This window comes from Homo sapiens, chromosome 14 (genome assembly GCF_000001405.40).
Source record: "Homo sapiens chromosome 14, GRCh38.p14 Primary Assembly".
Classification (NCBI taxonomy): Eukaryota; Metazoa; Chordata; class Mammalia; order Primates; family Hominidae; genus Homo; species Homo sapiens.
The window spans coordinates 97,027,197-97,050,887 of record NC_000014.9 but is presented as its reverse complement, the minus strand read 5'-3'; the positions used below and the strand labels follow the sequence as shown (position 1 = coordinate 97,050,887).

Sequence of the window (23,691 nt, the reverse complement as noted above, 5' to 3'; positions counted from 1 at the left end):
TCCTGAGACTCCTTGGTCAGCTCCAGATGTCCCTCTTCTAACCTGCTTTCCAACCATGGCCTCCAAGACACAGGAGGAAGGGAGCTGCAGGAGCCCTCTCCCGTCTTTGAGGTGTAAGGTTATCCAGACCCCCTTTCATTTGTGAATCCCATCTTGTTTTACGTTCCCTTTTTTGCTTTACTTTTCTTTGACTGGAGACTCCTCAGCTATTCTTACTGACTTCCAGTGGACCTCTTGAATCTTCTCACGTCTCTCTAGCAGAACCCTGGGTTGTAGGCTTGTTACATCCAAAATAATTTTCACAGGAGAGATGTTGCTGAGTGCGCTACATAGAGGTACAAAGTGATGAGCATGGCAACAACGATTCTGCTGTTTCTGTTGGTTTCTCTTGCTTTGCTCAAAGATCCCCAGTTAAACAGAAGAATTATTCTAGAAATGGTTCTGCCAAGCAGACACCCTAGCTCCCAGTTTGTTGACTGACAAAGTGGAAAACCTCATATTTCAGAGCAAACTGCTTCATAAAGCTGAAGGGAATGTGTTGGTCCACAACTCCATTCTGCAATGACAAGTGTGAATCCAGTTCCCTTGACTCACAGCCAATACCTGCCCAGGCTGAACTGGCTTGTCATATGGTCACATGGCCTCTGTTCCAAAAGGTGTAGGCTGGGTGGGAAGGGGGTTGTAGTGGGGATCAAGGTCTTGGGTTCTGTGCGGCCTTGGGCAAGCCATTTACCCAATATTTATTTCACCACTTCAACTCTAAAATGAGGATAATAACACTTACCTACTTGCTACAGATCACACAGTTTTTATGAGGATCGAAGGACACTTGTGAAGGTCATGTAGTGTGCCATACAAATATAAAATAAAAGGGGTAGCACAGTATCTTCAATTGCTTCAGCAAAATAACAACAACAGACACTTAAATTACACTCTCATGTGCTCTCTCTCTGAGCTTCACACACATTGACTCATTTAATTCTTAGTCTTCTGTTGGGGTCCCATTATCCCCATTTTAGAGGTGAATAAACTGAGTCCCAGGGAGTTTATGGAACATTCCCAAGGTCCCAGAAAGATTTAGTGAAGGTGCAGCTGAGACCCACACAGTCGGCTCTGGAGTCTGTGTTCTTAGCCATTATCCTACATTGCTTCTCCCACTATCCCCACCTTCCATAGCACCTCACACAGGGTTGATGCTCCACATAAAAGTCAGCCAACATAAAAGATACCTAAGTCCTGAAAAGATGTAAAGAAGTGTAGTTTTCACCCATGCCTAGCTTTCACCCTAGCTAGCAGGCTTTTAGCAAATATTTGTTATGTGAATGAGTGATCTACTCAGAGAACATTTCTTCAATCTCTTTATTAGTGAAAATTGTGACGTCTGAAATGTATCAAATTGGAGTTGGAGTTTCTAATGAAGAATTTCAGCAAGCCAGAGGCTTCCTGATAACATGCAAATCACAGAGAACATGTCTGCCTGGCCAGCTCCTAGCTCTGTTTCACCCCACAGCAAAACCAAGGAGTCTCCTTTTTTCTTTACATTATCCCCATGTAAGACATTACAGAGTGGAGAAAAAAAAACCTCTACTTTGAAGAGCTAAGGGCTTATGTTTTGGAAAATTGTTCTTGGACATTGCTTTAAATATTGTGTATCTTAATTGGTATTTGTGGTATATCTTGCTAAACCATCCAAAACCTCTCCATACTAAATTAATACATTTATTTAACTGAATTTTTTAAAAAAGAAAATTTTCATATGCTACTTCCTTCAAACAGAAACTCTGATGTCAGAATTAAACGTTTACCCTAGGACCCAGGCTGGTGACCCTCATTTTAACTTGACCTAACTGGATGGCAACCCTCGTTCTAACTTGACCTAACTGGATGGGGAATGAACTCAACTTTGGATGAAATGTGCCAGCCTTTTCTTGGATCTGACAAGAGATGCTTGTACCTCTTCTGAAACAAACTACATTAGTTGTATTTCAAGGAAAAAGTTTTGAGTTCTCTTTATCACTTGCTCACACTAGCCTACACATGTTTTGTCAATATCCCTTTTAATAAGTGTAGTGACCACCATGAATCCCAGGTGTGAACCAAGCTACAGAGTGGAGAATTAGACAGATCCCTCCTCTAGTTCTGGCTGATATACAACTATTAATACCATTTTAAATATCATTAGTAGAACTAGATATTGGGATCACAAAAGTCAAATCAAAGACCTCCCTCCCGTGCACCAATTTGTACTGAACTCCCCAATAAAACATTTAGCCTGAACTTGGTTCTAAAGAAATCCTGAATATAAATGGCAAAAACCAGACCTAGCAATGAATGGGTAGATTTGACTGAATAAGAAGAAAGTGATAACCGTGTCAGCCCATCTGGAGGATGAAGAGTTGGAGTGTGGTAGAGCAGGGGTCAGCACATTTTTCTATAGTGTTTTCAACTTCACAGGCCATACATTCATGCTCACAACTGATCAAATCTGCCGTTGTGGCACAAAATAATAACATAACAATGATAACAATAACAGATGATAACAATAAACAAATGGCCGTGGCTGTGCACCCATACAACATTTTTTATGGACACTGAAATTTGAATCCCATATAATTTTCATAGGCCTTTTGATTTTTTTTTCAACCATCTAAAAATGTAAAAGAGTCATTCTTAGCTTGAGGCCATGCAAAAGCAGGTAGCAGGTCAGATTTGGCCCACAGACCCCCAGTGCGGCCTGCAAAAGGAATCTTAGAGAAGAATTTCGATGACTTGAGTTCTAGTCCCAGTTCAGCCTCCAGCAAGCCAGTTTCCATTCAGAGCCCTCCCTCCTCCACCAGTGAAGTGAAGGGTTCTAACACACGCTCCCAAGGTCCTTTTAGCTCTTGGACGCCATGACCCTGTGAGGGCTGCAGGCTCTCCTACTGAGGACTATCCGGGTTACTTCCAAATCACCTGCCACAGCTCCCGGATGCTTCCAAACAGTTTGTTCTCATGTCACATCTTTCCCTCATAGGAAGGCTCTGTAATTTTTAAGAAGAAAATAACAATCGATTATAGGACCACATCTTGAAGGACATTTACCCAAAGCTTCACTGCTCTGAAGCATGCTCAAAGGGAGGTCATGGGAGCAGGGTGCTCCTTGGAAATGTTTAGACAAAATGAGAGATGGGATGCTTTTCTGCATAAAAGATGCAAGGTTCTCCAAAAGATGATAATAATAACAATAATAATACAGGACATTGATACAGCACTAAAAACTACAGTGTCCCTCTTGCGGTTTCAAATAAAGAAAAGAAAACCCACGCTTTTCTTCAAAGCGAACTAAAAACAGCAGGATTAATATTGATGCTGCAATGGGAAAAGCAAACAGACAGGCAGGGACAGGACTGCATCCAGCCTCCAAAACACATGTAAAGTTGGAGCTAAAATGTCATATGCATATGTAATTTATATGCAAAAACTCTCCTATAACAGGGCCACTGGTTGCCAAGTCTCCTTTTGCTACTTCCCGATCCTCGCTGAAACTCTATAATTTCATATTATCAGTCACCTACCAAGGGCAAGTCTGTCTGAGGAGAACACAGAAACTTTCTTAAGGCCAGGATATTAAATTCTTCTCGCACATCGCTTTCCTGGTAGCTCAGCAGGTTTCAGCAGGAAGACCTATTTTTGCTCCTGTGCGGGCTCTGTCCCTGGCAATGAGTGACTGGAACAGACTGCAGACAACTCTGCCAAGAATCTGAAGCTCTGATGATGTGAGCCAACCTCAGACTAATAATTTTATATCTCAATATAAGCAAAAGAGTTCCATAAAAATAGACCGTTTTTAACAGGATGGTATTCTGTGCTGAGAGAGGGCTGAAGAACGCGGTGCCATGTGAACATCTTTCCCCTATCTGCGGTACCTAACTTTAGCAACTTCCATATGTCTATTTGTCTGATCACTGAACTTGGGGAAAGAATGTTGAATGAGATGTGACTCTTCAAACTCCACGCCTGGGATTCTTCGGAGGTGAAATACCTATCCGTGTGTATATAACACTTCCTTCTTTCAAGTTTCCAGGAGATGGAAAACAAACAAACCCAAGGCTCAGGCTGTCGTATTCTTCATCAAATGTATCCAAGCTCAAGGCCATGTGCACATTCCCGCTTGTAAATTAACGAGAAATATATTGACGCCACCGAGGGCAGGTGTGAGAATGGCCTGGTTACTCTAAGACATCTTTTTTTCAATGTTCAAAGCAGTGACCAGATTCTCAGAAGACCAAATCTCATGGCACATGCTGATTCAGGGGGTTTCTCCCTAGAGAATTTCCCCAGGATGAAAGTGGAAGAGTTTAGTCTCAACATGGAGCTCTCCATGACTGGCTGTCACAGAGAGAGGGGCAGAAACAAAAAAAAAAAAAAGTGTTTTTTATTTGCTTGGTGGGACAGGAAGCCCAAGCACAACATCCAGAAAGCAAACCAGCTGGGTTGAAGGGAGAAGAGAAGGCTTAAAGGAACGGTGTAACGGCTGTTGTGCCCTAGTGTATCAATCTGAGTTCTGAAGAGAGACAGAACTAATAGAATATGTATGTTAAGAGACTATTTTAAGGAGTTGACTTACAGGATTGTGGGGGCTAGCATGTCCAGAATCCACAGGGCAGGCCAGCAGGCTGGAGATTCAGAAGTGGATGCTGCAGTTGAAGCAGAATTTCTGCCTCTTCTGGCAACTTCAGTTCTGCCTTGGAAGGCCGTCCAACTGAATGGATAAAGACCACCCACATTATTCCAGAATAATCCCTTTTCATTAAAGTCACTGAATCTACATGTTAACCACATCTACGAAATACCTCCCCAGCAACACCTAGATTCATGTTTGGTTAAGTAGCTGGCTTAGCCGTGTTGACACTTGAAACTCACCATCACACCTTGCATGCAGAAATTAAATTAGGCATGGCTGGGGAAAAGGATCTGCTCAGTGAGAAGGAAACGGGTGGTCCTGACCACACATCAGAGATGTGTGAGGCCGGCTGTTCCAAGGATCGGTCCGGCAGATGTAGGCTGAGATCCTACCGTGTGCCAAGCACTGTGCTCGACGTGGGGGAGTTAAACATGGAGCTTCCAGTGCAGATGAAACAGACAAGGGGACCAACACTGAGGATCACTGGATAAGACAGTGATGATTCCTCACCTGAATATCTTCCTCAGTTTTTATGTATGTGTGTGTGCAGAGAGAAAAGAGGTGTTCTTTCTGGTCTAGGTAAGGAATGGGAAGAAAAGAGCTGACATAGTAGAGGTGGGGAGTGATGATCATTTTAGGGTTCTGCAACAGTCTTGGGCATCCTGATCTTTCCAGGCTCCTAAGTCCACACGTCAAGAGCACCACTAGTAACACAGGCAAGTCAAAATCCACAAATATTTACATGAAACACAAATGCACTGTACTTGCATGAGAAGTTAAATATGATGTTTTAAATATATCATACAAATCTAGGATACTCACTGGGATGAACAGAGAGAAAAACATCAATAGTCCTTTATACTCATCTTTTCTTTTTTTCTTCCTGGACTGAAGATTGTAACCCTCCCTAAGATTTCATTATTGCCTCGGAACTTGTGAAATGCGATATTGGCATTATTTCTGACATTTCTTCAAAATAGGACCCTTCTCCCCAAAAGACACATTACATAATACAACCAGGTTGATTGTGGGAAGTCCATGAAGTAGGGAGAAGAAGATAGGATTTGGAAGCAGGAGATCTGGATGGGAGTTCCAGCACTTCCAGTGATGAATGATGTCCCCCTAGGTGAGACATTCAGCCCAGAAGGTGGTGGGGGACAGTGGTTCATAGAGGAATCTCTGGAGCCAAGCTGCCTGGGCACCTCACAGGTCTGCTGCTTGCTAGCTGTGTGACCTCAGGCAACTTGCTCAGACTCTGATCCTCATTTTATCGATCAAATAAGGAAGAAAACAGTCCCCCTGTGTTGAGCCATTGTGAGGACTGAAATGGCACAGATAAAGCAGTGCATACAGCACCCAGCTTTGAGTTTGTGGCTGTTATTTTCTATATCTTTAAGGGGAAACAATTATAGCAGCATCTGCTGTGCCTATTTCCCAGACTTATAGAAGAATCAAAATCAGACGATGTGAGTGAGGGCTCCATAGAAGCAAGCCAGGCACTGTACTAACAGGTGCTGGCTCTCATTCCACGAACAGTGCTCTCTGAGTTGAGCTCCGGGACCAATGCAGACCACTTCCTCTCATGTCCCGGTGGCTGGGCTCTCCTGGTGGCCCTTCCACAAGCTATCTTCTCCCTTTTCCTGCTCCTTTTTCCTAGCGCCCAGCAGTGACCCAGGCAGCTGTCCTGTCACCTCTAGTAACCCTGGTCACCATCACTGAGTCATGGTGGCATCAGTGACATCCACAAGCCTCCACCTCCTCCTTGTCATCTTCTGTCTCATCTGCTGCTGCCTGCCCAGAAGCTGCCATAAAACTTTTCCCCCATGGAAGTCCAAAGGAATAGTGGGCTAGAATGCTGGAGACCTGGTCCCAAGACTGTCATGTGTGAGCTTAAAGAAAACACTTCCCCAACCAGGGCCACTGAAGAAAGCTTAGTCTTGGACAGTGGGGGGCAGGAAGGTCCAGAGAGCAGGGCAAGGGCCTCAGAGAGTATGATGGGGGGGTGGGGTGTATATCGAACCCAGTCTCACACACAGGTGGAGCACACCTCCGAACTTCAGGCCCCTGGGCATGATTGAGAAAGTTATGAATGAGAAAACAACAGTGTACCTTGTTCACCACGTGCTCCTCTCTAGAGGCAGATAGGCCTGGAGTTCCAGCTCCAGCACTAACTAGAAAACTCTTGTTTCCTTATCTGTAGAATGGGGATAATAATAGCGACCTATCTCATAGGATTCTATGTGTGAAGGTTAATGAATTATTACATGCTAAGTATTTAGGATAGGGTCTGGTCTATAAGAACACTTATAAATGTTAGCTAACCTAACTCACAATATTAAAATTATGGCATATTATCTCATTTCATCTTATATCATTGAGTTTATTTTAATTTTATTTTTCCAACAACCTTATGGGTAGGTTGCTACTGTTTCACAGATGAATAAACTGAGGCACAGAGAGGTTAAAGGATTTCCCCAAGGCCATGTAGGCAATAAGGGATGAAACTAGGGACCTAACCCAGATAATCTAGCACCACCAGAGTTGATGCTTATAACCTCCACACTGTATCCCCTTTGGTTCTTTGCCAGAATTCTATGAATGTGTGGGAGACAAACAAAAGGATAAGAATTATCTATCTAGAGCAATGAATTCTGAGACTGTACCAATCCTGGCACTCTATAATTAATCTACAGGGTTGATTTTCCCAACTTAGCCTGACTTCCTTCACTTCCCAGCATACTTCAAACACTCTTTGCTTCCTAGATTGCATGCGTGCACTCAGAAAATATCACAGTTACATTAATAACTCCAGTAACACAAGATTAGGAACGTATATGTTCCTGGGGAAAAGTTCCATAAGGCATCCATGCTATCAGTGGATAGTAGCAGTGGTACCTGCCATCTTGGAGTCTCTGCACCCTACTAATGAACAATCCCAATGACTCTGAATGTCTCCAGAGAGAAGCCATTGCAAAATGGACCAGGTTTACCTTCAGGGTTTTCTGGGTGAGCCAAGGGATTTCATGAGTGCCGCTCTTTTCCCATTTGAATTCTCTTACATGGAAATCACTTCCCCATTACATACACAAACAAGGTAGGGCAGACCTAAGATGATCGCTCAAGTTTTGTTTTCTAGAGGCCCCTTAAAATGAAAAAGGAAATGGAAATGAGAAAAAAAGTAATAATAATAATAATAGTAATAATAATAACTTCTGATTCTACCGTTTATTGAGCTCCTGCTGTCTTCTCAGATATTATTGTACAAATTAAGCCACGGAAGAGTAAACCATGTAGCTGGATCTCCAAGGGCAGAGCAGGAGAAAGGGCTGCAGCTGAACATGTTCATTTCTACTCTCAAATTTACCAATCAAGTAACTCTATCTACCCACTTGAGAAGAGTTAGGGTAAGGCAGGTGACCAAGAGTATTCCTCTAACAAGTGTCTCTCCACTTTGAAGGAAATATCAACAGTGGAGAACAGGCGCTAACACTAATAACCCATATAAACACTCATAACCCACTCCTGCTAACAATTTCCATCATGGAATCTTTCATAGTACCTGTCATACGCCTACCTAAGAGTTTATCTTATCCCATTTCATTCCTCCATCCTCTGCCTAAGCAGTGACCAAGAAAAGGGTATTGACCAATTTATTTGCTGCTTGTAAATAATCACCAGTTACTTAGGAAAAAAGAAAACTGGGTTTTAAGGTGGTTTACAACATTCAGGCACAGTTAACAGAGGATATGACAAAACTTCTGGTTCTACTCATGATGGAATAACTAGTACTAGATTATTTCTCCTGTTGAAAACAACTGTAAAACTGGGCAATATCTGCAGCAAATGTTTTCAGATATCGCACAAGAGTCATCATAGGATTATGATCCCTGAGAGAAAGTAAATGCGTGAAGTAAGTGCTACAATTGCTCTGGCTTTCTGCTTGAAGGTGTTTTATGTTCTGCAGTATAAAGAGGTGGAGCCCAAGAAAACATGGTGGTGTTACTGGACTGAGAAGGCAGAGATTAGAATTTGGGACTATTGAGGGGCACTGGAATTTACACAGTGGGGTGCCAGAGAAGAAGGAGATGCACAGAAAGGGAAATTCAAAATCTCCATAGGGATTCTTTTAAGTCTCTGGCCATATACTAAGCTGTGCAAGTGCGTGAAAAGACTTCATTTTGGCCTAGCAGGTAACAACTACTGGGAAGCTATAAGGCGAATAGAGATTTTGAAAATTATACAGTGCTAGTACCTGGTGCCATTCTGAACAGACAAGGGACAAAGACCTCAATAGACTCTCCAGGTGTTCAGCTGAATCTCCAGAAAGGCCGAAACTTAGAATTAGGGTCATACTAGCCCTTAAGTAAAGTCTCCACTAGACCCACAAATAACAAAGCTTTAAAACAAGTCTTAAAAGGATCAAGCTGATCCACCAATAAATTAACTACCAGTCAAAACAAAACCCAACAATTTTTAAAGGAAGACAACAAAACCAAGACCCTCATCAATATAACATCCACAATATCCAACATATAATCAAAAGTTACTGAACATGAGAAGAAGCAGAAAAATATAACCAACAATCAAGAAGAAAAATGTCAATAAACATGGACACGTATATAATGAAGATATTAGAACCAGGAGAAAATAATAAGAAACATAAAAATGTTTAAGTATCTAAATGAGACACTAGATATAATGAGGAAAGAAATAGAAAATCTCTGTGGAAAAATATAGACTATTTTTAAAATGACTAAATGGAAAATTCTTGAACTGAAATATTAAATAAACCTGAATAGAAAAATTCACTGGATGTGTTGGAATATCAGCAAATTAAACACTGCAAAGAATCAGTATAATTAAAGACAGAGCAATAGACACTATTCAAAATAATGCATAGAGAAAGGGGGTGGACAAAAATATAAAGAGCCTAAGTGACCTGTGAAACAATATCAACTGATCTAATATATGTATAATCCCAAATATATGCAGTCCCTAAAAGAGAAGAGAGATTAAGATAGAAAAAATATTTGATAATATAATGGTCCAAATTTTCTAAATTTGATGAGATTAACTTATATTCCAAGAAATTTGGCAAAGCCCAAGCAAGATAAACCAAAATAAATAATTAAATAAATAAAATAAACACACTTCCAGAGACATCATGGTCAAATTGCTAAAAATGGAAGATAAAAATAAAATATTAAAAGCAGCTAGAGGCAATGAAAAAAAACTATTACTCACAGAAGAACAATGGTAAGAATGACTACTCTTCTCATTAGAAATAATGCAGACCAGAACACAATAAAACAACATCTTCAAAATGCTGGGGAAGGGGGAGCTGTCTATTTATAATTCTATATCCAGCAAAAATATTTTTCAAAATAAAGACATTTTTAGATAAACACAAGCTGAGATAATCCATCACTAGCAGACCTACCCTCTAAGAAATGTTAAAGGAAATTCTTTATGTTAAAGAAAAATTATACCAAATGGAGGCTTTAATATATACAAAGTAATGAAGAACCTCAAAAATGGCAAATACATAGATACATTTAAAAGACAAGTTTTTTGTTTCTTAATTTCCTTAAAAGATAATTGATTATTTAAAACAAAATTAATAACAATGTTATAAATGCTATAATTTATAACATATGGAAGTACAATGTATGATAACAGTAATACAAACTACAGAAAGGATAAATTGAGATTTAGTGTTATAAAGTTCTTATTGTATATGTAAAGTGGTATAATATTAATTCGTGATAGATTGTGATAAGTTAAACATGCATATTATAATCCCCAGAGCACCTCTTTAAGAAAAATAACACAGAGGATCCTTTTGTCACCTTTTGGCTAAGATAAGTGTGAAAAATAACACAGAGATATAGCTAAAGAACCAATGTAGCAGATAAAATCAAATACTAAAAAATATTTATTTTTTAGAAAAAGTAAAAAGGAGAAGGAAAGAACAAAAATTAAATAAGACAAGTGAAAAATGAATAGCAAAATGGTAAAGCAGACTTAAACTCAACCACAACAATAATTGCATTAAATATAAATGGACTAAATATTTTAATTAAAAGGCAGAGATTTTTCAGACTGGACTAAAACATTAAGACCCAACTATATGCTTTTTAAAGGGGATGTACTTTAAACAGAAAGAAGAACATGCCCTGAGCTGAGGAGCTTCTGAGAGACTGTGGGAATGCAGGAAAACACCTCAACACAGCCACCCCAAGATAACCCAGACATTCATGGGTCCCAGAAGATCTAATTCAGGAAGTGAAACCAGAACATGAAGCCCTAATGAAGAGACATGGGAAACAAAAGCACAGCTTTCAAGGCTAGCCAATTTTCTGAAAGATCTCAGCAAGTGTTGAGTATGTACGGGAAAGACAGGTCACAGTGAGCTGAGCCCAGGCTCTGGGTAAAATCTTTTGGCAAAACTTTGACATGGTAATGTGACCTGGCTGGATTCATGATAGTTCCCAAATCCAGAAAGATACCTTCCAGAAAGATGAGGCAAAGTAACTGGGCAGATAGAGTGGGGATCTGAAGAGAGTCCCTGGCTCAGGATCATGAGCCATGGTGTAGTAAGCGGGGCTTTGGCTTGGATCCTTCCTGGCACCCAACATACACCCTAGTCTATCCAATTCTGGGTATGGCTGGAAACTCAAGTTTTTATTTATTCCGTTTCTACACTAATTCACAATGAATTTGGGGCAATGTATAAAAATATAGTCAACACTAAAGAAGAAAATATGTTCTTGAGGAAATCAGGCAGAGGGAGGAAAGGGAAGCAAAATCAAAAAGCCTGGAGTCTGCATACTGAACAGACTCACAGAATGTTTAGAAGTGAGCCAAAAAATTGCTTTTGAGACTCCACAGAAGCAAGACAAACAAAGAAACACAGCAAGCCACTCTGGGTGGCAGGTTGGGGACACAGCTGGATGAGCTCATAGGTAAAACAAGATGAAGATTGTAGATGGGATTCATCTATTAATGCATCTGTAAGGAGCTTCCCCCAGACAGGATCAGAGAAAAACACTGGAGGCTCATATTTTGCAAACTGCAGTCATTCCTTCAAGAAGTCATTATGGAGTACATTCTGGGTGCCAGGCACTGAGCTAAACACAAGAGGAATTATGGGAGTAAAACAAGTGATCCCTGCCCTCATGGACATTAGGGTCTGGCAGGGAGGCATGTGTTTATTTGTACTTGTTGGGCATTTAGATACTGTTGTAGATGCTGGGTTACAGCAGTAAACAAATGATCAGAAATGTAAGTGTAACAAGTATCATGACAGAACAGTGCAGAAAATGCTGGGGACCATGACATCAAATCAGGGATCTAGCCAGGACTTGAGAGAGTCAGAGGCTGGAGCACAGGGAAGGCAAGGAGTAGCATTTGAACTGAGCTTTGATGAATATAGAGACAGGATTAACAGGCAGAAGATAAGGGACCATACCAGATGGAAACAAGTGCACACCCATGAAGGACATGAGACAGGAAGCCGCATGGTGTGTCTGAGAAGCAGGTAGGGCTGGGGCACAGGCTGTAGAAAAAGAGTTAGGAGGCTAGAAACAAGGACAGGAGCAGACCTGACAGGATGGCGTTGCTCCCATGATGGATTCAGGACTCAATTGTAAGAGCCATAGGAAGCTGTTGAAGGATTTTAAGTTGGGGCATGATGATATAATCAGATTTGTATTTCTGTAAGATCATTCTGGCCTATGTGGGGAATGGCTTGGAGCAAAGTGGAGTGGACACAAGGAGAACAAACAACAGCTCTTTCAGGGATCCATGAGAGAGACAGGGCAGCTTGAACCAGGGCAGATGGTCTGAAGATACAGACAAATGAATAGATGAGAGATTTTCAGGAAGCAAAATAACAGTCTTCAACTCTTCATTTTCAAACCTTTCTGAAGGAAGGCTCCAATATCTTCACATTGAGCCAGGTGGTTTTCACATCACCAAAAAGATCCCTGGGATGGTGGAAACAGATGTGCACAGTGGTTAATGGCACAGACTCTTGGTCAAGTTGTGCAACTTTGCCCTGAGTCTGAGCCCTCTCTTCTGTGACATGATCTCCCAGTGGGCTTCTGAAGACTGCACAAGCATATGTGATCGCCCTCCTGTTCTCTGGACACAATAAGCAAGTGTCCACCTCTGGCTGTTTGCACTTTCTGTTCCCTCTGCTCTTCCTCAGCCATTCACGTCTCACTCCCTCATCTCCTCCATTGCTCATCTCCTACCTGCCTGATGATGCTGTGTAAAAATGCAAACTATGTTTGACCACTCCCCAGCACACCCTCTCTCCCTTCCCTGATTTATTTTTTCTGCAGCACTCATCATTCTTATTTTGCATGTCTTCCAGTAAAATAAAAGCTCCATGAAAGCAGAAATTTTTATCTTTGTTCACTACTGTATCCGCAGCACGTGGTGCATACTAGACACTCAGAACGTAGCTCTTGAATGAATGAATAGATCATGTTTGAAAATCATGCAGGCCATATTAATTGCCCAAGGAATAAAAGCGATCAGTCTGTTGACAACACCAATAATACTAATTTTAAAAATTATAATATAAATTCCTTCTTCCGATGCCTTCCACAATGCCAGTTTTCTGTTTGGAATGATTTCTTTCATCACAATGACTACTTGTTTTAGCAATTGTGAAAACAAATCTTTCTCATTGGCCTCAGTGTTGTTCATTGAAATCATGCCCTGACTTTTTCAATTAAAAAAAAGCACAAACCCACAGCATTCTAAGTTGACAGAAGGACCACAGGGCAGGGCTTACACTTTATCCCTTAGGATGAAGCCCACAGAGGTTCCCTCTTTCTGTCCAACTTCCCCAGAGCTCATTTTACTGCCACCGGGTTGATCTGAAGGTCAGAGATGCTGAGGCTTGTGTCTGCTGCTCACCAATGCATTATCTATTTATATATGTTGCCATTATGTGTAAGGAGCTGGAATTGGAAAGAAGGTAAATAGGACATCTTGATTCTGAGTTACATTTTCCTGTAGTGCAATTGAAACACGATTCATTCTATTCTTACTGCATTGATCGGTAATTTTCATTTTCTAATTTCAAATAAAACCTCTTGCTGCAGTCAAAAGTGGTCGGCTCCTGGATATAACTTCACAGCTCATTTTAGCTTCATCGCTTAAAGACGTTCTGTTACCATCAGTCTTAAGTGGTAATTCCACTTTTCCAATTAGACTGTGGGAATGAACCAGATAAATGGACTCTCATCCCCCAAGCCATAATCTCAGCCCAGCCATCAAGACTGGGACAATGAACACCCCAGGAGCTCTTTCCTGTCATTCCGTTCCAGAGCCAAAGCCCTCCCCGTGCACCCTTTCTAAATAAGCCACGCTTTGAGGGGCAGTTGTATTTTGAGATGTTGACTCCCAAGTGATTTGAACTTCTTTTGAATAGTTCTAATGTCCAACACAGTAAAGGCACAGATACCAGTTAGACAGGGCTCGTTTTTAGCATCATCCAAAAGGTAGCCCCTTCTGTCGTTCTTCCTTCCCTCATCAACATGAACACGTGTGTGTGCACGCACACATACACACACGCACATGCCATCAAAACCAACTGCAGATACAGAGGCACCTGTGTCGTAGCAAAAAGACCTAAGACTTCATATCAGTTGGCATGAGTTCAAGCCCTGGTTCCACTGTGGGGCCTCGAGCAAGTCATTGCCTCCTTTGGGATGTTAGTCTTCTGTATTCATGAAATTGACAGGCAATTTTGAAAAACTATGTATCACACAGGGATACTGGGAAAGCGAAATGTCATTACGCACAGGAAAGCATTCTAGGGACTGCCAGTGTGAGGTCAGGAGACGGCCTGATGGGGGTTGGAGTGGGTCCTGGAGAATCTGATAGGCTTGCTGGCATGGGGCGTTGCTTCATTCCATGTCAAAGGCAGCATTTCATTTCCCCAGCCCCACTGAGGCTTAGTTGCTTTGGCAACAAGAGGAAGAAAATAAGCCTTATCCTCAGGATCTTAGTAGTCTGCTGTGGAGACTCAGTGACGTCTTGCACGTGAAAGAATGTTAAAAGTAAATGCCATGTGAATATATATGATTACGCTTGTGATCAATATTGTTATTTAACTACGTAATTCAAATATGTACTTGGTGCATCCTATGATGGCCACATGACTAGCATTTCTGGATGGAGATACAGAGTGGAGACCAAGATAGACGTTTGTCTGAGAAGGGCAAGACAAAAACACAGTCGAACCTGGAGGCCAGACTGCAGGAGAGAAAAACTGGTTATCCCTTGCTCCTGGGCTTCAGGCTGATTTCTTTCCTCTGAAGCCCTTTGGCCATTTTATTCGTGGGCTAGAATATACCATTACATGTGTCTCCACTGTACATAATCATCAGTGACTTTCTTTGAGTTACATTTCCTTCCTTCTGTGCTTCATGGATCCAGCATGCTAATCCTGTTTCTTGAATTGATGACTGCCCAAAGCCCCCTTCCCATTGCCTCTTAATGGCAAGTATGAATTTTTCATACAACAGGGAGGGAAAAAAAGGGAAGTCAGCTAAAGAAATGCTTTGGATAAGTTGTTTCTCCAGGTTTCTGCCCCCAGGGAGTCCCTGGCAGATCCTTACATCTTCCAACATGATGCTATGGAAAAGAAGGGCCTTTGGGGTCAGATTACCCTCTCGAGATGTGAATCCTGGCTCTGCCATTTACCGGCTATGTGAACTTGGGCTGGTTATCTCACCTCTTGAGTACTGCCTTTCTCAACTCTAAAATGGGAACAACACCAGCTTCAAAATGCTCTAGCGAGGAGCCAACAAAATAGTGGATGTAAGGTACCTTGCAGAGTAACATCAATGTTAATCTCCTTCTTACTCCTCTTCCTTGAAGTGCGGGAGAATAATTTGAGCAAGGGAGAGATTGGAAGTGAAACTATTACAAAAGGGACAAATGGCCTGTAACGGAGAGATGTAAGTTGCTGAAAATAAACTTCAAGCCCTGCAGAAGACAGCATTTGGTAGCTCGGATTCAGCGGTAGAGGCCTGCACGCCTCCGGGTGGGTGAACACGTATCAGACACCCCTGCAGTTCAATCTGCATCACTTCCTTCTGCCAAATCTCATGCCCTCTCCTAGCCTCAGTTTACCTCACCCTGAAAATTGGGTAATTCCTTCCATTTCACATCTGTGCTGTGATGATCACATGAAGAAAGACAATGCTGTCAACAGTTGGATTTGTGGAGCCCTCAGGGTGCACAAAGTCCTGAAGAGTTAAAAAGTCTACAAGACACTTTTTTTGATTTTTGTCTTTTCCTTTGAATCATACAAAACATGACCATTTAAAGAGCAAAAGTCTCTTTTGCTGTAATAATGCTTGATTTTAAAACATTTTCAGAGGGTAAGACCATCATTTTTTACAGTTTCTCATTTATCTGAGGGGGTCTTTAAAATCTGTTTTAGAAGAAAGCACAAAAGGTCTCTGTCACATTCAAGTTTAAGAGACATAGAGGAGGCCGGGCGCAGTGGCTCACGCCTGTATTCCCAGTACTTTGGGAGTCCAAGGCAGGCGGATCACGAGGTCAGGAGATTGAGACCATCCTGGCTAACACGGTGAAACCCCGTCTCTACTAAAAATACAAAAAATTAGCCGGGCGTGGTGGCGGGCGCCTGTAGTCCCAGCTACTCCGGAGCTGAGGCAGGAGAATCGCTTGAACCCAGGAGGCAGAGGTTGCAGTGAGTTGAGATCGCACCACTGCAGTCCAGCCTGGGCGACAGAGAGAGACTCCTTCTCAAAAAAAAAAAAAAAAAGACACAGAGGAAAGATGCAGAGACTGGAGCCACCCAGACGATCAACGCCAAAGTGTTCCCTTCCCCAGGGCCCTTTGACCCCAAGCCACGGCTCCCATGGGTGTGTCCTGGAGGTCACCAGGGCCCCTGCCGCAGGGCCAGTCTGCAGGGCACAGTTGGTCTCACTATTAAGCATCTCAGCTGGCCTCCCGTAACCAGGCACCGCAGAAAGAAAGTCCTTTTCAAGGGAACTGTCTGCAGAGAGGACTCTTAAAAAAGGTAGGGGTCCCCGGCCCCTGGGGGAAGAGAGAACTGGGTGAGGAGCCCAGCACAAGAAAGAACAGCCCACCGCTCCTTGGGAGATGAATCACGTTCCATCACAGCTGAGATAGAAACGGCTTCTGTGTCCTTTTGATTCCGGTAACAACCCAGCTGGGGCTGGGCCTAGGGGCGACCACAGCAGCAGTCACATATCCAGCCATTAACATGCCCGCTGAGCCCTTTCCCATTAGGCCTGAAGCAGGCACCCGTGTTGCAGATAATAACTGGCCACTTTGGGACATCTCGGACAGAGACAGGAGTCTGGGTCGAGAGAGGCGATGCAGAGACCACCAGCGGCCCTTCTCCCCGCCGGGGTGGGTGCCCTCGGCCCGTTCCGGGGCTGCAGCAGAGTTTCTGAGTCCTCTGCGCTGCCTGAGAAGCTGGGGTCACGAAGAACTTCGCGTCCCTTCCAGCCTCTGGAATTTGGCAAGAGCTGTGGACCCTAAACCCAGGCCCGGGAGGAGCTGGACGCGCGGCTCTCGGCGCAGCTCTGGGCCTGCACCGTGGGATTCCGCTGTCGCAGCGATCAGGTCACGCGTGGGGACAGAGGAGGCCGAACAGATGCCCACCGCGGCACCAGCTGCTGCGCCGCGCCCCGGGGACATGCAGCGCCGAGAGCACGGCGAGAGCGGGAGCAGGACGCGCTGGGCCGGCCAGGAGCTGGGGCGGGAGCCGGGGCGAGGGAAGGCACCTGCCCTGGGCCCTCACCTGCTGGGGTCCCGCGCCCGCTCCGCATAGCGAAACTGAAGGAGCGGTTCGCGGCGGCCGCGAGGACCCCGGCGCAGACGCCAAGGAGCTGAAGCTGCTGCGGCCCCGGGGCGGCGGATCCCGCAGCTCGGGCTCCCTGGCCCTGAGGTGGCTGCTGCTCGGTGCTGCTGTGCAGGAAGCAGCCTGGAGGGGAGGAGAACCTGGATTCGCACATGAGGGGCTGCAGGGGTCACCCCCAACCCTAACAGGGCGCCCAAAGGCGGGGAGCGCCACGCAGTTGGGTGGGTTGGGGCTTGTTGAAGCGTCCCTGAAGCAGCGTCTTTAAGGTGGGCTCCAGGTCTATGCACGCAGGACCCCGGTCCTCAGAGCCCCACCTTCCAAGAGCCACAGCGCGCGCGCTCTGGGAGCAGACCCCACATCACACTCTCCTCCGCGAGCCTTCGGACTCCCAGACCCATCAGACTGCTGGCCACAGCTCCCCCAACTCGCTGCACTTCTCTCTCTTTCTCTCTCTCTCTCTCTCTCTCTCTCTCTCTCTCTCTCTCTCTCTGTGTGTGTGTGTGTGTGAGAGAGAGAGAGAGAAAGAGAGAGAGAGAGAGACAAAATCCACAGAATGTGAAATTCCCCACTTTAACCGTTTTGAAATGTACAATTCAGTGGCTTTCTAGCACATCGACAATGTTGTGTTATTATCACCACTATCCAGTTCCAGAACATTTCATCACCCCAAAAAGAAGCTGGATACCCATTAGCAGCCACTCCTCACTCCCCCTATCCCAGCCCCTGGCAACTACCAATCTGCTTTCTGTCTCCACATATTTGCCTCTTCTGAGCATTTCCTATAAATGGGTTCACACAATATGTGGCCTTTGTAACTGACTTCTCTCATGTCACATAAAGTTCTCACGAGGCTCGGCCATGTTGTAGCATGCGTCAGTTCCTCATTCCTTTTTATGGTTAAATACTATTTTATTGTTTGCATATACCACATTTTATTTCATCAGTGGATGGATATTTGGGTTTTTCTCCACCTCTTGGCTGTCATGAATGGGGCTGCAATAAACATTTGTTTCAGGGACACGTTTTTGAGTACGTGATTCCAATTCTTTGGGTTATGTAGCTAGAAATGAAATTGCTGTGTCATATGGTAACTCCATATATAACTTATTGAAGAATCAACAAACTGTTTTCCACAATGGTTGTGAACTTCTTTTTGTTATTGGTACATAATAGTTGTATATATTTTGGGATACATGTGATATTTTGACACATGCATACAATGTGTAATGATCAAATCAGGCCAACTGCAGCATCATCACCACAAATATTCACCTTTTACTTACGCTGGAAGCATTCCAGGTTGTCTCCCACAGCTATTTTGAACTATGGAACAAATAATTGTTAAAGAATGTTGCCTTACTGTGCTATCGAACACTAGAACTAATTCCTTCTAGCTAACTTCGTGTTTGTACCCAATAACCAATCTCTCTTTATCCCCCTTCTCCCGCTTTCCTTCCCAGCCTCTGGTTACCACCAATCAACTCTCTACCTACATGAGATCCACTTTTTTAGTTCCTACATATGAGTGAGAACATGTATCATTTGTCTTTCTGTGCCTGGCTTATTTCATTTAATATAATGACTTCCAATTCTAACCATGTTGATGTTGATGACAAGACTTCATTCTTTTTCATGGCTGAATAGTATTCCATTGTGCATACGTGCGTGTGTGTATAATGTATACATGCAATGAAAGTGACCCTAAGTTATTCATGGTCCCATATACATATATCATATCACTTTTTTAAATCCATATATCCACTGACGGACAGTTAGGTTGATTCTATAGCTTGCCTATTGTGAATAGTGCTGGATTTAACTTATTTTTTAAATAGCATTTACTATAGGATACAACCAAGCATGTAGCGATTATTTGATCATACTTGTCTTGCCTCATCAGAATGTAAGCTCCATGAGGCAGGGACTGCTGAAGTTCCATTTACTTCCATCTCTCTAGTTCCTAACACAGGGATGAGCCCCAAATGGTGCCCATTAAATATTCATGGAAGGAAGAGAGGAAATATTCATGGATGGCAGAAAGGAAGAGATGGATAAAGGGAGAAAGAGAGGGAGGAAAAGAGGAGAGATGGAGGAAGAAAGAGAGAAAAAATTATTTGCACAAATAGCCTTAATTATTCCCCCTCTCTCTACCCACTCCACTCTGCAAGAGACTTCACAGCTTCTCTTACCAAGAGGTTGAGGCCATCACACCACCACTTGAACCTGGGCAGGCCTTGACCATTAGAATGAGCTGGAGAGGATAGGGTGCCCTTTCTAGGCTTCAGGAAGCCCTTGTGCTTCTGTTCTCTCTCAGAATGCTGGTCAGCTGCTGAATGAATGAGCCAGGGCTAGCCTAGTGGATGATAGAGACATAGCCCCAACCAGACACCAGACACGAGTGAGGATCTCCTAGACAGCCAGCCCCCCAGAGAAACACAGAGGAGCCCAGCCCATGAGATCAATTAAGACTGATCCAGGACAGCCTAACTGCCCAGCTGATCCATGGGCTCATGAGCCCGAATAAATGCATGTCGTTTTAAGTCACTGCATTTTGGGTTGGTCTGTTATACAATACATAATGTATACAAAACTGTCTTTTAAAAATCTGTCCCTCTAACGAAATAATGGCATTTGCAACAACCTGGATGGAGTCGAAGACCATTATTCTAAGTGAAGTAACTCGGGAATGGAAAACCAAATATCTTATGTTCTCACTTGTAAGTGGGAGCTAAGCTATGAGGATGCAAAGGCATAAGAATGATATAATGGGCTTTGGGGGTTTGGTGAGGGGAGGATAAAAGACTACACGTTGGGTACAGTATACACTGCTCAGGTGATGGGTGCACCAAAATCTTAGAAATTACCACTAAAGAACTTATGCAGAACTGAAAAACCACCTGCTCCCCCAAAAAAACTATTGAAATAAAAAATAAATTATATAAATAAATAAATAAATCTGTCCCTTTGTTCATACATCCCCTCACTGTTAAGGCCTCCTCCCAATCCTGTCTACACTGAATTCTTTTCATTGTTCAACTTCCAATTCAGTCATCCTCCTTCAGGCAGCCTTCCTTGATTTCACCAGCCCATACTACACTTTTCTAAACTTCTATAGCCTCAGTGGCATGGTGTCCTGCTCAAAGTTCATTCCCAAACTGTCTTGGTTTGTATGTTAAGGTGATGGGTGATCAACTAGTTTTAAACTCCAGGAGGATCAGGAATTAACTTCTCCCTCCTTTGAATAGATTTGGAGTCTTATGAATTGGGGTTAAATCTGGCCTCCTTCCTCTTTGTGTTAAAGAAGTTGCACATCTGTAGTCAGGTGCTTGAAAGCAGAAGTTCTTGGTCTGAACCCTGGTTGTGCTCCTTTGTATCTGAGTGACATCAGAGCGGTCGTGCAATAACTTGCACCTCAGCTTCCCATCTGCAAAATGGGCACAGTAATTCTTCCAAGGAGATCTCACAGTTAAAGTAGGTTTGTGTATTAATATTCAGTAAGAGTGAAGCTCTAAGCAGATGTAAGAATTTCTTCTCAGCCCCCATTACCTTCTTTGCCATCTCAACCTGACTTCTTGGTAAAATTGCCTTGTAAAAGAAGTGATGGGCTCCAGCATCTCACCCTGAACTCTCCAGTTATCCTCAATGTCAAAACAATTACCATGGCCTTGGGAAAGTGGAAAGTGAACCAAGGACTACAGGGCTGGAGCCCCCTGAGCTTCTGCCCTATCAGCTGGCCAACTGACCATTCAACATGCCCTTTGCCATTTGCTGCTTCTATTATAGCAGAGGTACTTCCCTTACCCTGAGATGTGGATTCACTTAGTCTGGGGTGGGTCCCAGGCATGGATACTGTTAAAGCTCCCTTGGTGATTCTGATATGCAGCCAGCATAGAGAAGCACTGCTTCAAAGTAAGCATTGTTTTATTGGTGCATTCACTGGTTTGCTTATCAAATATTTATTGAGCACATACTATAGGCCAAGCCAGATATAGGTACAGGAATCCCCAGCACCCAAAAAAGTGATGAGTCCATGATGGAAACTATTCATGGAAGGAAGGAGGGAAAGAAGGAAGGAGGGAGGGAGGGAGAGAGGGAAGAGGGAGGGACAAAGGAAGGAAAAAAGAAAAAGAAAAGAAGGAAAGAGAAGAAAGAGGGAAGAAGGGAGGGAGGACTCATCCTGCACTTCTTCTATCGCCCTGCCCCTGTCACACCTGTCCTCCTGTCCTCTCACCTCCCATTTCCCCTCAGGAGTCTCAGGAAGCAGGAGTTTGTGCCACTTCCACAGCACAAACACAACAGAGAGAACGGGGCTATTTCAAGCACAATGCTTAAGCACCCTGGGCAAAGGAAACCAGAATCTTGGTGCTGAAAATGGGTCACCCCCAAAAAGATACAATTACCTTTCTTGCCCCAAATTGAACCCAAATACATTGCAAATGGAAGCCACTGGGATCTGAGAAGCTAAGTGCCTTGATGGTAAACGGTCATGTGACAATCTCCTGATGCCAAGTTGGTGTCCTTTCCATGGTGCCCTGTGCCCTCGACCTTTTCTGTTATGAGAACCATGATTGCCACCAGTTCTGAGCACTTCCTCCCTGCTGGGCACTGTGCTAAGAGTGCCCTATGCTGTTTCATCCTTACCTAGAGGCAGGCCATATTACTCCCCTCTAGGGTTGAGGGGAGTTTTCTCTAGCTTAGAGAAAACTCATCTAGGAAGTGCAGAACCCACATGAGAAGCTGGGTCATCCTGGGAGGAGCCAGGGGGAACGTGCTTTCTTTTACACCAAGTCAGTCAGAATGTTTATTGCATAATCATTTCTCCCTTTAGAGAGGGTCTGTGTCTTCTTTATCTTTGGATTCCCAGCTCTTTGCACCCTGTCTGGCCACACACAGGCACTGACTAAGTTCTTAAAATGGCAGAACATAACTAGCACTTACCACTATTGATAAGTATATATTCATAAGGTGTTTGCTTAATGCCTATCTCTATCACCAGCCTTAAGCCCACAAGGGCAGCGACTGGCTCTGTTTTCTGCATCTTGTACCTCCAGCATCCACCCTCTAGGCCCTCAGCAAGCAGCTTTTGAGTAGATGGATGCTTGGCTCCGTGGAGATTTGGGGCACAAAGTCAGAACACTGTGAGTACCTGGTGGTAATAGCTGCCTTCAGATCACCAGAGAAAAGGAAGCTACCCCAGAAGACAAGCCGAGACCCCGAGAGGAACAAGACCCTGCAGTAGTTAGGTAAGAAATAAGGACCAGAGGCAGAAGGGGCTTCCCTGCCTCCATTTTCAGATGGGGCTTCTTGGAAGCTCTGCCACAGCTTGTCAGCAACACTCACCCAGACCAGGCAGTTAACCAGGAACCAGATTAGCTGGGAACCAGCTGTGAGGTCCAATGTGCTCAACTACAACTCAAGATGCCGGCAGCCCACGTATGGAGCTCGTGGCCTGGGCTGCTCATCCTGTTCCCCAGTAAACAAAGGCCAAGTCCAGCACTCCCCGGCCCCGTGATCAGACGCCCCATGGTTGTGTTTCATGTTCTTTGCCCTGTATTCACCCAGTTTCAAGGTTGGACTCAAATCCATCAGGAGAGGCAAAAACACTGAAAGACGGGCATGCTGTCATTGTCCTTTCCACCGAGGTCACAGTGCATGACCCTTCCCCCCTACACAAAAAGCTGTTGCCATGGGAACCACACAGAATGCTGCCAACTTGACAAGAGACATTCAAACCAAGAGGGACAGTGACCTGATCCCCCCCATCCCACACACTCCCCTGAAGTGCCAGGGGAGAAGGCGCAGAGAGAGTGTCCTTTCCTTTACCTGAAGCGCTTGCCTATTCATATGCATTGAAATGAGGATGACAAAGACAGAACTTCCCTTACAATTTTCTACCAGAGGTGGAGAAAAACGCTGGAGAGGATGGGGGTGCTGTTCGTTGCTTTCAGCCTCCTCAGCCCCAGGCCTGGGAGACAGCACAATTCTCTGTGTCATTAGCACTTGGTGGGCAAAGGGACAGCTCCCTCAAAATGGGGCCATCCCTAATGGATAAAGGAAAAATAAAATATTATTTCTCAGCAGATATGCCTAGAACTTGTTTCTCATGTTACCAAGTCCAACGTCAGGGGAGGCTTTGCCCAGG

At 43.9% G+C, this 23,691-nt stretch overlaps 1 long non-coding RNA gene across 1 annotated transcript; it reads right to left on the bottom strand.

Moving 5' to 3' along the window:
- Positions 1 to 1,345: 1,345 nt before the first annotated feature.
- On the bottom strand, positions 1,346 to 23,173 carry LOC105370647 (uncharacterized). Its single transcript, XR_944180.4, has 3 exons — positions 22,890 to 23,173; positions 4,607 to 4,741; positions 1,346 to 3,020 (listed from the first exon to the last, which is right to left on the bottom strand). It is a non-coding gene; the product is annotated as an uncharacterized LOC105370647 (long non-coding RNA).
- Positions 23,174 to 23,691: the final 518 nt, after the last annotated feature.